Source organism: Homo sapiens, chromosome 4 (assembly GCF_000001405.40).
Source record: "Homo sapiens chromosome 4, GRCh38.p14 Primary Assembly".
Taxonomy (NCBI): Eukaryota; Metazoa; Chordata; class Mammalia; order Primates; family Hominidae; genus Homo; species Homo sapiens.
Window position 1 is genome coordinate 54,042,205 of NC_000004.12, and position 17,102 is coordinate 54,059,306.

The 17,102-nt window shown below is 36.1% G+C and overlaps 1 protein-coding gene across 4 annotated transcripts in view; it reads right to left on the reverse strand.

Moving 5' to 3' along the window:
- Positions 1 to 17,102, reverse strand: part of CHIC2 (cysteine rich hydrophobic domain 2) — an 82,091-nt gene that overhangs the window by 32,416 nt on the left and 32,573 nt on the right. For 2 of the 4 annotated variants that reach the window (XM_047450063.1, NM_012110.4), the window contains 2 exons: positions 7,047 to 7,101; positions 6,751 to 6,906 (listed from right to left, as the gene is read on the reverse strand). In XM_047450063.1, coding sequence (XP_047306019.1) covers positions 6,751 to 6,906; positions 7,047 to 7,101 — 211 coding nt within the window. Of the gene's footprint in view, positions 1 to 335; positions 542 to 6,750; positions 6,907 to 7,046; positions 7,102 to 17,102 lie in introns of those variants that run through there. The other 2 variants (XM_011534382.3, XM_006714037.5) reach the window with 2 other exon arrangements.

Here is a 17,102-nt window from a genome sequence, read left to right on the forward strand (position 1 = left end):
AGATAGTACTCCATATAAAATTAAATGCATCAAATAAATATTCCATCTAGTCATATAAAATACAAAGAGAGAACTTAAGACTGAACACTACAATGCTAAATGAAATGTACTTTCAGAAACTACAGATTAAACTAGCTTAAAAAGTCAATCTTACATCTCACATAAGAAGGAATTTAATGAAGGCATTTCAAAAAGGATCTCAAGTTGATATGAATGCAAAGTTTAACTCATTTACCTTTGTTTTCTAAATACACCGTACACACTGCAACATCTTATTACTCATTTAAAGGTTTAAAAAAAGGGTATCAAAACAAAACCAACACAAACAAACAAGCCAGATCTCAAAGGTATCTACAGTATTAAAACTCTTAGGATTTTCTGGGTTACATGATGGCAATTCCCAACCAAGAGAGACATAGCAGGCATTGAAACAATGGAAATGCCCACATAGCAGAAGGGAGTGAGGGGATCCAAACTACAAGAGCGACAAAATCAACTGTGGATCCAGAGACGAAAAAATGTTCTGTAGTGCAAAGGTAATCTGGTGAGAATGATGAAAAAAAAAGAACCATTTTTAGAAAAAAGGAATATTAGAAATATTGAAGTAAATATCATAAGTCATTCTATTACAAAGGCATTAACTCCTTCCTATCAATAGAATGTACCAGTTTAAAAATTTTTAGTAGGAATATATCTTTTATTTTATAACAGAAATCAAGGGACAAAGAGAATTTGATCATCCATACTTCCTACTCTTATTGGTTGTCAAAATGTAGCCACATAAAACTGTTCATTCATTTTCAACTTAACAAAATTTCATTTTTGGCTGGGTGCAGTGGCTCACACCTGTAATCCCAGCACTTAGAGAGGCCAAGGAGGGCAGACTGCTTGAGTCCAGAAGTTTGAGACCACCCTGGGCATAGAAACCCTGTCTCGGCCAGGCGCGGTGGCTCACGCCTGTAATCCCAGCACTTTGGGAGGCCGAGGCGGATGGATCACGAGGTCAGGAGATTGAGACCATCCTGCCTAACACAGTGAAAACCTGTCTCTACTAAAAATACAAAAACTTAGCCAGGTGTGGTGGTGGGCACCTGCAGTCCCAGCTACTCAGGAGGCTGACACAGGAGAATGGCGTGAACACGGGAGGTGGAGCTTGCAGTGAGCAGAGATCATGCCACTGCACTCCAGCCTGGGCAACAGAGTGAGACTCCATTTCAAAAAAAAAAAAAAAAAAAGAAACACTTGATCACTTGGCAGAAACTCTACAAGCCAGAAGAGAGTGGGGGCCAATATTCAACATTCTTAAAGAAAAGAATTTTCAACCCACAATTTCATATCCAGCCAAACTAAGCTTCATAAGTGAAGGAGAAATAAAATACTTTACAGACAAGCAAATGCTGAGAGATTCTGTCAGCACCAGGCCTGCCCTAAAAGAGCTCCCGAAGGAAGCACTAAACATGGAAAGGAACAACTGGTACCAGCCACTGCAAAAACATGCCAAATTGTAAAGACCATCAAAGCTAGGAAGAAACTGCATCAACTAACGAGCAAAATAACCAGCTAACATCATAATGACAGGATCAAATTCACACATAACAATAATAACCTTAAATGTAAATGGGCTAAATGCTCCAATTAAAAGGCACAGACTGGCAAACTGGATGAAGAGTCAAGACCCATCAGTGTGCTGTATTCAGGAAACACATCTCACGTGCAGAGACACATATAGGCTCAAAATAAAGGGATGGAGGAAGATCTACTAAGCAAATGGAAAACAAAAAAAGGCAGGGGTTGCAATCCTAGTCTCGGATAAAACAGACTTTAAACCAACAAAGATCAAAAGAGACAAAGAAGGCCATTACATAATGGTAAAGGGATCAATTCAACAAGAAGAACTAACTATCCTAAATATACATGCACCCAATACAGGAGCACCCAGACTCATAAAGCAAGTCCTTAGTGACCTACAAAGAGACTTACACTCCCACACAATAATGGGAGACTTTAACACCCCACTGTCAACATTAGACAGATCAACAAGACAGAAAGTTAACAAGGATATCCAGGAATTGAACTCAGCTCTGCACCAAGCAGACCTAATAGACATCTACAGAACTCTCCACCCCAAATCAACAGAATATACATTCCTTTCGGCACCACACCACACCTATTCCAAAACTGACCACATAGTTGGCAGTAAAGCACTCCTCAGCAAATGTAAAAGAACAGAAATTATAACAGTCTCTCAGACCACAGTGCAATCAAACTAGAACTCAGGATTAAGAAACTCACTCAAAACTGCTCAACTACATGGAAACTGAACAACCTGCTCCTGAATGACTACTGGGTACATAATGAAATGAAGGCAGAAATAAAGATGTCCTTTGAAACCAATGAGAACAAAGACACAACATACCAGAATCTCTGGGACACATTCAAAGCAGTGTGTAGAGGGAAATTTATAGCACTAAATACCCACAAGAGAAAGCAGGAAAGATCTAAAATTGACACCCTAACATCACAATTAAAAGAACTAGAGAAGCAAGAGCAAACACATTCAAAAGCTAGCAGAAGGCAAGAAATAACTAAGATCAGAGCAGAACTGAAGGAAATAGAGACACAAAAAACCCTTCAAAAAAATCAATGAATCCAGGAGCTGGTTTTTTGAAAAGATCAACAAAATTGATAGACCGCTAGCAAGACTAATAAAGAAGAAAAGAGAGAAGAATCAAATAGATGCAATAAAAAATGATAAAGGGGATATCACCACCGATCCCACAGAAATACAAACTACCATCAGAGAATACTGTAAACACCTCTACGCAAATAAACTACAAAATCCAGAAGAAATGGATAAATTCCTCGACACATACACTCTCCCAAGACTAAACCAGGAAGAAGTTGAATGTCTGAATAGACCAATAACAGGCTCTGAAATTGAGGCAATAATTAGTAGCTTACCAATCAAAAAAAGTCCAGGACCAGATGGATTCACAGCCGAATTCTACCAGAGGTACAAGGAGGAACTGGTACCATTCCTTCTGAAATTATTCCAATCAATAGAAAAACAAGGAATCCTCCCTAACTCATTTTATGAGGCCAGCATCATCCTGATACCAAAGCCGGGCAGAGACACAACAAAAAAAGAGAATTTTAGACCAATATCCTTGATGAACAGTGATGCAAAAATTCTCAATAAAATACTGGCAAACCAAATCCAGCAACACATCAAAAAGCTTATCCACCATGATCAAGTGGGCTTCATCCCTGGGATGCAAGGCTGGTTCAACATACGAAAATCAATAAACGTAATCCAGCATATAAACAGAACCAAAGACAAAAACCACATGATTATCTCAATAGATGCAGAAAAGGCCTTTGACAAAATTCAACAACCCTTCATGCTAAAAACTCTCAATAAATTAGGTATTGATGGGACATATCTCAAAATAATAAGAGCTATCTATGACAAACCCACAGCCAATATCATACTGAATGGGCAAAAACTGGAAGCATTCCCTTTGAAAACTGGCACAAGACAGGGATGCCCTCTCTCACCACTCATATTCAACATAGTGTTGGAAGTTCTGGCCAGGGCAATCAGGCAGGAGAAGGAAATAAAGGGCATTCAATTAGGAAAAGAGGAAGTCAAATTGTCCCTGTTTGCAGATGACATGATTGTATATCTAGAAAACCCCATCGTCTCAGCCCAAAATCTCCTTAAGCTGATAAGCAACTTCAGCAAAGTCTCAGGATACAAAATCAAGGTGCAAAAATCACAAGCATTCTTATACACCAATAACAGACAAACAGAGAGCCAAATCATGAGTGAACTCCCATTCACAATTGCTTCAAAGAGAATAAAATACCTAGGAATCCAACTTACAAGGGATGTGAAGGACCTCTTCAAGGAGAACTACAAACCACTGCTCAAGGAAATAAAAAAGGATACAAACAAATGGAAGAACATTCCATGCTCATGGATAGCAAGAATCAATATTGTGAAAATGGACACACTGCCCACGGTAATTTATAGATTCAATGCCATCCCCATCAAGCTACCAATGACTTTCTTCACAGAATTGGAAAAAACTACTTTAAAGCTCATATGGAACCAAAAAAGAGCCCGCATCGCCAAGTCAATCCTAAGCCAAAAGAACAAAGCTGGAGGCATCACGCTACCTGACTTCAAACTATACTACAAGGATACAGTAACCAAAACAGCATGGTACTGGTACCAAAACAGATATAGACCAATGGAACAGAACAGAGCCCTCAGAAAAAATGCCACATATCTACAACTATCTGATCTTTGACAAACCTGACAAAAACAAGAAATGGGGAAAGGATTCCCTATTTAATAAAGGGTGCTGGGAAAACTGGCTAGCCATATGTACAAAGCTGAAACTGGATCCCTTCCTTACACCTTATACAAAAATTGATTCAAGATGGATTAAAGACTTACATGTTAGACCTAAAACCATAAAAACCCTAGAAGAAAACCTAGGCATTACCATTCAGGACATAGGCATGGGCAAGGACTTCATGTCTAAAACACCAAAAGCAATGGCAACAAAAGTCAAAACTGACAAATGGGATCTAATTAAACTAAAGAGCTTCTGCACAGCAAAAGAAACTACCATCAGAGTGAACAGGCAACCTACAGAATGGGAGAAAATTTTTGCAACCTGCTCATCTGACAAAGGGCTAATATCCAGAATCTACAATGAACTCAAACACATTTACAAGAAAAAGCAAACAACCCCATCAAAAAGTGGGCAAAGGATATGAACAGACACTTCTCAAAAGAAGACATTTATGCAGCCAAAAAACACATGAAAAAATGCTCATCATCACTGGCCATCAGAGAAATGCAAATCAAAACCACAAAGAGATACCATCTCACACCAGTTAGAATGGCGATCATTAAAAAGTCAGGAAACAACAGGTGCTGGAGAGGATGTGGAGAAATAGGAACACTTTTACACTGTTGGTGGGACTATAAACCAGTTCAACCATTGTGGAAGTCAGTGTGGCGATTCCTCAGGGATCTAGAACTTGAAATACCATTTGACCCAGCAATCCCATTACTGGGTATATACCCAAAGGATTATAAATCATGCTGCTATAAAGACACATGCACACGTATGGTTATTGCAGCACTATTCACAATAGCAAAGACTTGGAACCAACCCAAATGTCCAACAATGGTAGACTGGATTAAGAAAATGTGGCACATATACACCATGGAATACTATGCAGCCATAAAAAAGGATGAGTTCATGTCCTTTGTAAGGACATGGATGAAGCTGGAAACCATCATTCTCAGCAAACTATCGCAAGGACAAAAAACCAAACACCGCATATTCTCACTCATAGGTGGGAATTGAACAATGAGAACACATGGACACAGGAAGGGGAACACCACACACCGGGGACTGTTGTGGGGTGGGGGGAGGGGGGAGGGATAGCATTAGGAGATATACCTAATGTTAAATGACGAGTTAATGGGTGCAGCACACCAACATGGCACATGTATACATATGTAACTAACCTGCACGTTGTGCACATGTACCCTAGAATTTAACGTATAATAATTAAAAAAAAGAAACCCTGTCTCTATTTTTTTAAATACATTTTTAAAAAATAAAATTTATTTATTTAAAAAAATTTTTTTAAAGTATCATTTTTATACATATAAATACAATTTTTGAAAATTTTAACAAGAATATAATACATTCAATCTATAATAATTTGTCATATCTCTACCAACATCTTAAAATTTTGTTTATTTGTTTGTTGAGACAGAGTTTCACTATTGTTGCCCAGGCTGGAGTGCAATGGCACGATCTCAGCTCACTGCAACCTTCGCCCTCCAGGTTCAAGCGATTCTCCTGCCTCAGCCTCCTGACTAACTGGGATTACAGGCACCCGCCACCACGCCTGGCTAATTTTTTGTATTTTTAGTAGAGACAGGGTTTTACCATGTACGCCAGACTGGTCTTGAACTTCTGACCTCAAGTGATCCGCCCGCCTTGGCCTCCCAAAGTGTTAAAATTGCAGGCATGAGCCACTGTGCCTGGCCAGAATTTTTTATTATAAGCAGTCAAAATAATGAGTCTTTGAAATTATTTTTTCTGATTACAGAATCACTTTGTGCTCACTACAGGAAACTTGTAAAATATAAAAAGCAGAAAAGAATGTCCCATAATCTTACCAACAAGAAACAACCATTGTAACCATTTTATTTCTTGTATGGGTACCATCTTACAGTCAGTAAGAATACTATTAATTAATACTTATTAACCACTTCCTTTGAGATATTCAGCTAAGAGTTTTCCAAACATTTTCATTTTACCTTTATATTCAAGTAGTAGGTGAACATTTTACAGTTGTGTCAAGTAGGGTTTAAAGAGGTTAGGAAACGTGCCTAAGGTCACAGAGAAAAGTGGTAGAGCTGAAGCCAGCATCCTTGATCACTATACCACACCACTGTCAATGTACAGATACAGACAATGCCATACACTACTCCTTGCTTCTAAAATTATAAATATAATTTTTAGATGGCTATTTAATAACAGCACTTGGATATATAGTAACTTTACTGACTCACTCCTCTCCTGGATCAGATTATTTTCATATTTTATTCAGGATAGTGTGATTCATTCAATACAAAAAATAAAAACTAGATAAATGCAAGACTTGCTTGTCCACTTCTAAATTTAAATTAAAATATATAATTCAACTTACTCTTTTACTGAGGCAAATAACTGGCCACATACTGCAACCTAATGTGCAGCAGCAACAAAGGCAGCCACAAAGTAGCCAACGTACATTAACAGGAAGGTTCTTCTTAAGACAACTGTTAACTCTGTTGATGCTGGCTTTAAATTCTTCAGGAGCTACCTAAAGAAAAATTTTAAGAAATAATAACAATGCAATATTAATGTCAAAAAACATGACTGATGAGCATACTTTTTTCTAATTTTCTCAGAAAAAAACTTTCATTTTGAGGCATACAAATAGTACATAAATGAGACACTCACTTTTCCAGTTAATGAAGAAGGGAATTCAGATTCAAATTTGTTGCTCAGTCCAAATCTATTTTAAAAAATAAGAAGAATATGTTATTACATGTTATTGTTGCCAAAAATGTAGACCATTTAATTTAAAGGTCAAGTCAATAGAAAGCATTTTCACATATGGAGGAAGTTTTAGACATAAAATGGAAGTTTGAGATAAAATAACTGTAACAAGCAATTTATGAAATGTAACAATTATTTTAGCAGTTAAATGGAAACTTTTGCATAATGATAAGGGGCTGAATGTTAATTAACCAGCAGTATGTAAACAAAAATATAAATGGTTCATTTAATTTGAGCTACCAACTTTATATCTTAAAAAGTAACTACAAAGCATATTATTTTAATGGGTGGGATAGCGATTTTTTCCAGCTTTTAATGTTATTGGTGGAAACAAACAATACCTGTGAATTTTAGCAGGTGTCCTACACAAGCAATAAGATGAGAAGGAAAAATGCAGGAAAAAGAGTGAGGAGGGGAAGAATAAGGAAAAAGGGAGAGAAAAAATAAAAAAGTAGGAATGGACAAAGTGCTACCAAGAACCGTCTTAGGTTCCATTGAACACCTATTTGTCAGTGCATTAGATGGTATGAAAGAAAATGTAGACGTGTACTATACCTATATCTATTCCTATTACCTAAAAGACCTTTTCTTGAATCATGGTTAAAATATTCCATGGCTTTAGAATTGATAAAAGATTTAAACTATTTTCAAAGAATGGTAAATATAACAAGAAGATAAAAGACATAATAAAAACAACCTATCTTGCTTTTATCTATCAGAAGTCTACCAGTACTTGGAGAACAGAGAATTCATTCAAATCACAACTACTGAGCACATTCCATGCAACACTTCAGTGCAGGCTTTTATGGCTTTTACAGCTTCCTTTGTTTCCTTAAGAAATCACACACGAGACCAATTTTACTTTTATATAATTTGAGATAATTTTGAAAGTTCATGTAATACACTGTAAAGTTTTGAAGGGGGGACTCCAACTTTACACCTAAATCTAAATGGAATCTTGAAACAGGCTTGTTTTACTCATATCCCACATACATCCATTTCACTATCTCTACATTCCTCCAGTCTATAGTCATAACTCTGCAAACCACTCCAATCTGTTATCCTGCTTTCTCATGATCATCATATTCAAGTTTATCTTTCCTGATAGACCTTGAAACCCTCAATCTGTTGATCTGCAGCTATCAGGATACCTCCTTATATCTTATCTTAAAAAACAAAACAAACCTTAAATACATACAGTCATGTGCCACATAACAACGTTTCAGTCAGGACATACTAGAAGGTGGTCCCACAAGATTTTAATACTGTATTTTTACTGTACCTTTTCTATGTTTAGATACACAAAAACTTACCACTGTGTTATAACTGCCTACAATACACAGTACAGTAACATACTGTACAGGTTTGTAGCCTAAGGGCTATGGGCTATACCATATAGCCTAGATGTGTAGTAGGCTACACCATTTTAAGTTTGTATACACACACTCTGTGATGTCTGCACAATGATGAAATTGCCTACTGACCCATTTATCAGAGTAGTCCCCATAGTTAAGCACCACATACTTGTATATATCTTCACTTTAACCAAAAACCCTGTTGAAATGCCACTCTTTCCTTAGAAATCCTCAACTACAGTTCACTCCTGACCTTATCTATTCTAAAGAACTTTACCTCCTGCACCTCCATCTAATTCAGCAACCTACTCACTGTGATATATTCTGCATATTGTCATCACTTGGGACTGTATCACCTCTGAAATTCTGAACTGTAAAATTCTTCTCTTACCACTGCCATCAATCATTTCATTTCTCCCATCCTTACTAAATTTGTTTTTTGGCCTCTGGTTGTAATATATTGCTTCCCACCCCTCCATAGCTCCCTATGACTCCATTTCCTTCCTTATTTGCCAGAACTACATAGTCAATCATTTTGAACATACTCCAACAAACACCTTTAATCATCTCTACAGTGTCCCTTGCCAACCCAGGTTCAATTAAATTGTTTACCTTCTTCACACTGCCTGGAGCTACTGGAGAAAAATCACATTTATAAATGTATCACCAATAATAAATATATATATAACATACATATCTTATTTCTAATCTCATGAGTATTATTGTAACAATCTTTATTCATCCCCAGTAAGTTCTCTTTTCCATGCTCCGTAGTTGTTGTGCCTGTCTTTAGGTACTCCACTTTATCCTCACAACCAACATTTTTTTGCAAATAACCACAGTTGTCAACTCTGAGAGAAAAAAATGTCATGGAATATAAACTGCTTTACCTTCCCTCCCTTTTATTTTTGGATTTACTTATATATCTTCAGTATTTTTACCATCTCTCAATGGAGGAAAGCTTCCAAAAACTAACCATTTACTTCTGAGTGCATCTCCTCCAGTCTCCTCTGCAATTCACTGTATTTCTACCTCGCTTCAGGCTCCTTAAACATAGCCTACAAACCTGAATTAGTCTATCCACCTGAGGATGTGAATCCTTATTTCTTCTTCTCTCTCAATGTCTGATGGCATCTATTTCTTTCCTTCCTCAACTAATGTTTTGAAAGACTCCTTTACATTAACTATCTTTACGTTACCTCCCATTCATTATTCAAACTACCACAATCCAGGCTTTCCTACACACTTCTTTACTAATAAGACTGTTCTCATCAGAGTAGTTGAAAACAACTCTTTTCAGCAAGTCTTCTTTCATATAGCATGCTTTCTCCTGGCAAAGAGCTTGAATGTCAGAATTTCTTATTTGGCACAGGCCACAGCAAATATCTCCTTTGCTATGTTTTTCATCCCTGCCAAAACCTTTTTTTTTAATCCAAATCTAGACCAACCAAAACAATAGTAGCAGGTAGAATTTTAGCAAGACGGTCTTATTTTATTAAATGGATAGGAAAAGTCACACTTCTTGTTTGATAATATAACTGTAAAATATCACCTCTAATGATTTATTTTTGACATAAACCACTTAATTTTGACAATACCTTAGTTCTGGCTTCTTTTTTAAGTTCAGCAGGAGGCAGAGACTGTTAGAATGAAAATGGCATCTATGTTTTGTTTTCAATTGACAGCATTATAAATGTACCTACAAGTTTACATAAAACTTTTTATATATGGTAAAAATAATTTCCTTTATTCTAAGACAAAGTACAACTGGTTCAGCACAGTATTAGAAAGGCCAAGTTTCATCCCATAAAATAATAATTTGATGTACTTGAAAGAAGAGCAATGATTCCTGCATTGAGTAGGAAGCTGAACCCCCTTCAGACTCTAATAACCAAACATTCTACTAATCCAAAAAGCCAGAAGTAACACTTGGATAATTTTTAAAAATATGATTTAAAGTAGGTGGCATCTTAATTCAGTTATCTACAAGACTAATTAAATTTTAAAAAATATTTTATGTTGGCAAGAAGGTCAAGATGGAAAAATATCACACACTGTCAATGGAACTATAAATTGTTACAACCATTTCAGATTAATTTGGCATTGAAAATATTTATACCTTTGTCATACTGTTTTCTCTTTAGAAATGTAATATTACCTAAAAAATAACTTGAAATGTGGATTAAATTTATGCATAAACAAGTTCATTGAATCTTTATTCACAAATATAAATATGTATCTATTTACAACATTTTAGGAATGGTTAAGAAAATTATCTTATCTCAATATAACAGAATATTAAACAACCATTAAAAATGAAATTTGCAAACTAAAAACACAGAAATACCATTGAACATAAACTTATTTACCTTCCCTCCCTTTCATTTTTAGATTTATTTATGTATCTTCAGTATTTTTACCATCTTTCTCAATGGAGGAAAATGTTGAAGAAGAAAATTCAATATACCATGATATTAACTGAAAAGAACAAAAATCTTGCAAGTTGATAGAATTTTCAGGAGTGCCATCTGGTAGTATGTAAAACGGGTCTTAAAAAATATTCCTACCCTGGCTGGGTGTGGTGGCTCACACCTGTGATCCCAGCACTTTGGGAGGCCAAGGCAGGTGGATCACCTGAGGTCAGGAGTTCGAGACCAACCTGGCCAACATGGTGAAACCCCATCACTACTAAAAATGCAAAAATAGCTGGATGTGGTGGTGGGCACCTGTAATCTCAGCTACTCAGGAGGCTGAGGTAGGAGAATTGCTGGAACCCGGAGGCGGAGGTTGCAGTGAGCCAAGATTGCGTCACTGCACTCCAGCCCGGGCTGACAACAGTGAGACTCAGTCTCAAAAAAAAAAAAAAAAAAAAAAAATTCCTACCCTTTGACCCAGTAATTCTACTTCCAGAAATGTATCAAGAGAAAATAGCTGCAGTGGCACAGATATGTTAATGAATAATCAAGTATTCTGCAGTGTTATTTTAGGGAGGGGGTATTAAAGACATTTTGTGTCATTTGTTTTTTTTTAAATAAGAGCTATTTTTCAGAAATGTATAGTTCCTGCTAACTAAATAATTGACGAGTATTTTATTTTATTTTTTTGAGACAGAGTCTCGCTTTGTTGTTCAGGCTGGAGTGCGGTGGCGTGGTCTCATCTCACTGTAACCTCTGCCTCCCGGGTTCAAGCGATTCTCGTGCCTCAGCTTCCCAAGTACCTGGGATTACAGGTGCTCGCCACCATGCTGGGCTAATTTTTGTATTTTTAGTAGAGACGGGGTTTCACCATGTTGGCCAGGCTGGTCACAAACACCTGACAAGTGATCCGCCCACCTTGGCCTCCCAAAGTATTGGGATTACAGGCGTGAGCCACTACACCCGGCAGACAAATATTTTATAATGTACAATACCACCCTAATTTTGTTTTCTTATTTGAATATTTTATTTGGTATTAACTAGGTATTTTAAGATAAGTAAACAAGGAAATTTAGGTTCACTAATCAATAGTTTTCTTGAATGCATTTCAATGTTTTCCATAGTTCAAGTCCATCTAATCCTCTGTCCTTCTTACTTCAGTTTTAACTTCTTCTATGTTCCTTGTATCTCCTCATATTAACAATGTCTCTTGGCATTCACTACTGAGCTATCATTTTAAATTAAGACATGTTTTGAACTCATAACGAATTTTGCTTTTTAAATGCAGAAATGCAAGAATCCACTGCTTCAACTTGTTTTGCCCTTAATCAAAAATATATGTTCAATGTTTCTTTTCTTCTGAGTTACAGTGATATTTTTAACAGTGAAATTTTTAAAACAGAAATATCTTATAATTAAATTAATTATAATACAACAATCTGAAAAGATGCTACACAGCTCAAAACCATGTATACTAGAGAGAGTAGTCTGTTACTCCGCATGCCTAACTAGGAACTCCCTATACTTTGGCTAATTAGATCACAAGTGGGCATCTGCTTTAAGAACAGCTAATCCCTGGGCTGGGTAGCAGCACATGGAATGGCAAGGCCAAACAGTCCTGCCTAACTTAGATAACATTAACTAACTCAATCAGCTCTCTCTTGAGGTATCTGAACATAAGACAAATAGATGGTAACATGCAGAGCTGACAGAGAGAGGGCTTAAATTGAAGTCAAGATGTAGTAAAGCCATCGATAATTAGAAATCAAAATAAACTGAAGCCAATAGTAAGCAGAAACTGAGATCACCAGACAAGTAATGATGGGCCAGATCAGGGAGGGTCTGGTAGAACATTAAAAGGACTCTGAAGGAGATGGGGAACCTTTGAGGGGCCTGATACAGAGAAAAGACTTGAACTGACTTATGTTTTAAAAGGATCACTATAGCAGATGTACCAAAATGGTTGTATAAGAGGAGAGGCAAAGGTGGAAAGGTGGAGACAGGGGGAAGAAAAAAATATATATATATTTTTTGTAATTTAGATGGATTCTTGCTATGTTGCCCAGTGTAGTCTCAAACTCCTGGGCTCAAGTGATCTTTCTGCCTCAGCCTCCCGTGTAGCTGGGATTATAGGTACATGCCACCATAACTGACTTAAGAAATACATTAAGCGTAAGGCAGAAGGGAGACTGGCAATTCACTCCAGTCGTGTAGGTGGCAAAATAGGGCCAAATTTTGAAGACAGAGCCAAGATGTCAAGACAGAATGGATGTAGTGAAAGAGAAAGAGGAAAATCAAGAATACATCAAAAAGTTTTTGATCTAAACAAACAGGGTCCTCGATCTGCCATCAACTGAGAATGGAAGGCTGCCGTTGAAGCTGATTTGGGGTGTAGATTATGAATTCCATTTTGGATATTCTGGATTCTGAGACATTCCACCTGTACAAATCTATAGATACAGAGAATTTTTATGTTCCTACAGATATGACAAGACCTATGAGCATATGAACTAGAAATTTCAAACTGAACATATTGGTTATGCAGATGGCACATGAAGAGAGTGCTTATTTCCTAATGTTGAACTTTGAGCTCAATGAACTCAAATTTTTAGCTAGTTTTGGAGATAAAGTCATAACTATGGAAAAAAATTAACAGGCTTTGATGCATATAAATCATGCTTTAAGTTTATCTGGTTGATTCAACATACGTCTGAATATCAATGTAGCTCAAGGAGGATGGGATCTAATTGAAAGTATACTCTATTTATACAAAAGATACAGAGACCCTGGAGTTGGAGACGTATATTTGGGTTTCAGAATAATTCTAAAAATCTTAACTCTGTAACCACATTCTGAACAATATTTGAGTTCATCTGGTTTTATGAAAGTTTAATCTCATTCAGGAAACTAGTGAAATCAAAGACTTAATTCTCCAAAGCATGTGTTAAATTTACTCTATCATAAACCTCACCATTATACATAGTCTTATAATAATCTAGCATTAGCATTTTATCAATTTTTAATTATTAAGGTTATAATTTCCATTATTAACAGATTAAATATGTTGTTAAGCAGTGAAAGCTATATAAGTGTATACTGATGAAAATGCACAGTATAACTAACTTCTGGCGATATAGGGATGCAGCTGATCTAACTTAACAACTTTTAAATTTTCTGAACTACAGAAAAAAGATTTTTGTATATCTGATTTATACATATTTTAGAATATTCTTCATACTTCTATAAATCTTAAGAGCAAAATAATGATGCTAAATTATGTTCATTTAAGCAAAATATATGGTTGAATTGATTTACAATATAGACTAACAAAAATACTCATTTCAAGTAACATTTATAATTGAGCAGTTTAGAAAAGACCAAGAAAGGAGACTGGGTACATAGGAACTCCACCACTGAACTAACCAAGGCCCACATTATGACTACAATGCAAGATCAAAGAGAATAAAACAAGAAGTTCTTGCAGGAAGCTCACTATATATAGTACATTCACTTTTTTTATCAATCAAAATAACAAAGTTAGGTTACCTTCAAGTCCAACCAACTCTATCCTAAGTAGATAGTGGGAGAGAAAAAAAGCTTAAGAACAAAAAAATTATTCTTCAGGGACACTGTGAGAACATTTCAGCTCCTACGGATGCAACTGAGTTTTAAATGTAAGATATAAAAAACACAATTTTTTTCCTCAAATCTAATGAATCATGTACTGAGGGCTGTCACATACTACACACCTTACAGCTAAAGGATATCACATTTACGAGGGTTCCCACTTCAAAATCTATGATCTTGTGGGAAACACTCTCTACTTCTGGCATGTGCTATTCTCTTGGCATACTAGCTGCCCCAGCAGCAGAACAGAAAGTGCAGGTATGCCATCAAAATCACTCCCAGTGAACAGTAAGGGTAGCCAGTTATTTAACCTCAGCCTACACAAAGCTAAAATTAAAAAATAAACAGACCAAAACAAACATAAGAACTGAGGAATTAGACAGCAAAAGTGGCCACTGCTATGTATTTCCATACCTCATAGGAAAAGCTGTGAAATTTGATGGTTTACACACAGAACTGTAATAACTCCTTTAATCTAGAGATCAACACCCTAGCTGGGGCCACTATCATGTCTTATGGAAGCTGCTTCTATAACCTTCTAAATTTCATTCTAATTCCTTTACAATCCTTTCTGGCCCCTACTGAACCCTCCAACCTCATTTCAAGACATTATCCCCTTTGTTCACTATATTCTAGCCATAATATAGAGGTATCCTTTCAGTTCCTCAGGCAAGTCAAGCTTGTTTTGGCTTGGAGTCTTGGCACCTGCTGTTCTCCAGATCCAGGGGCTCCTGACAGGACTCTCATCCTTCCTAAATGTTAGCTTCCTCAGAGAGGTTCTTCCTAATCACATTATTTTCAATCACAGGATCTCATCCATTTCCTTCAGTGCAACTTTATCAGATAAAATTTGTCTATTAGCTGTAAACTCCATGAGGGCAGAAACTATGTGTGTTTCATTTTGGGTTTCATTATATACCCAGAGCTTTGTGCAATACCTGGCAGAAAAATGGGCATTTAACAAATACTCATTAAATTACTTATCAGGAAACCTCAACAAGACAGCTGATAATCAAAGATTAAGCAAAAAATACTCTGAGAAAACAAAATAAATATTGTAAAACCCAAGCATCAAAACCCAAGCATCTACATTCAACAATCAGGATGAACTTCTCTTACTTTATATGCAGTTCTAATAAGGCTGGTTGGTTGTTTTGCTTCCAAGAACAGCTGACCAATTACAAAGACAGAAGAAAGCAAACCAAAAAGAACAGCCCACATATGAAATTTAAATGAAAGTGCCATTTAGAGAAGGTTCTCAAACTCCAACATACCTCAGGGCCACTAAGGCATCACTGTGTATCAATCTGATAGCCGCTTTTGATTAAATGATTCCTCTAGTCAATTAGATAATTCTGAGCTATGCTCAGAATCTTGTTTTAAAGCAGAAAAGCATACTTCACATTTTAGACTGACTTCCCACAAAATGGTAAAGAATAACCAAAAAAATGTGCATGCAGGGTTAAACATCAAAATATGTCATAAGTAATAATTTATTGAATGCCTATTAATTAGATAAATTCTGACTCTCACACGTAACCTCTAAGGTGGATATTATCTCTTTCGCAGATGAAAAAACTGAAGTTCGGAAAGGTTAATCTGCTTATGGTTACTGTCAGGAAGTGACTGAGAATTGAAACCAATCTGCCTCATATCAAAGACCACACTTTTTCCACAGTACCATCTATTACTTTCCAAATATGTCTGATAGAATCACATAACACTCCTACCAAAAATAAAAATCCCTAGACTCTTCCCTTCCAGACCCAATATTCTGATTGGGTCAAAAGTCACATACACACATACACACACATACACACACACACACACACACACACACACACACACACAATCTTACACAGAAGATACCTGAAGGATACTTAAGAGCATCTGTTGCTACATGTTATATTTAAAGCTTAATTTTATTAATAAAATCTAAATAGCTTTATAGCAGATTAGAAACCTAAGCCAGACACAGCTATTAGAGATTTGAAAGATTTCTTTCTGAGTATACAGCTGGCCTAATATCCTGGGCCTTTAACCTGTTGACAGTATAAACTCCAGCTGGAATTCTGCTTTAGAGTAATATTATTTATTTAAATTATTTAGAATAGTATTTGATTAGTATCATAATAATTACATATAATTTACTTTTCACCATTTAATCCCTCTTTTCCACTTAGCTAGTCATATAAAATTTTAAGTACTAATCAATTTCATATCCCTTGGTAGGCAAAAATCCAACACTGAACTCTTTGGACCAAATGTCATATAAATTCTCAAATTCAAATACAGTAAAAACTTTGAAACCTCAGTTAATTATCATATTTCTCATTTCTTCAAGAAAATCTGTGCATTAAGAAGTTTTAGTAGTTGGTCCAAATAAAATGCATAGAATTTTTTCTTCACATTACCAAAGATATGTATTATATCAAATTACCAAATTATAATCAAATTAATTTCCTCTCAAACTATATGGAATAAGAAAAATCTCTGGGAAGCCACGCATGGTGGTTTATACATACAATCCCAGCATTTGTGGGGGCTGAGGCAGGAGGAAC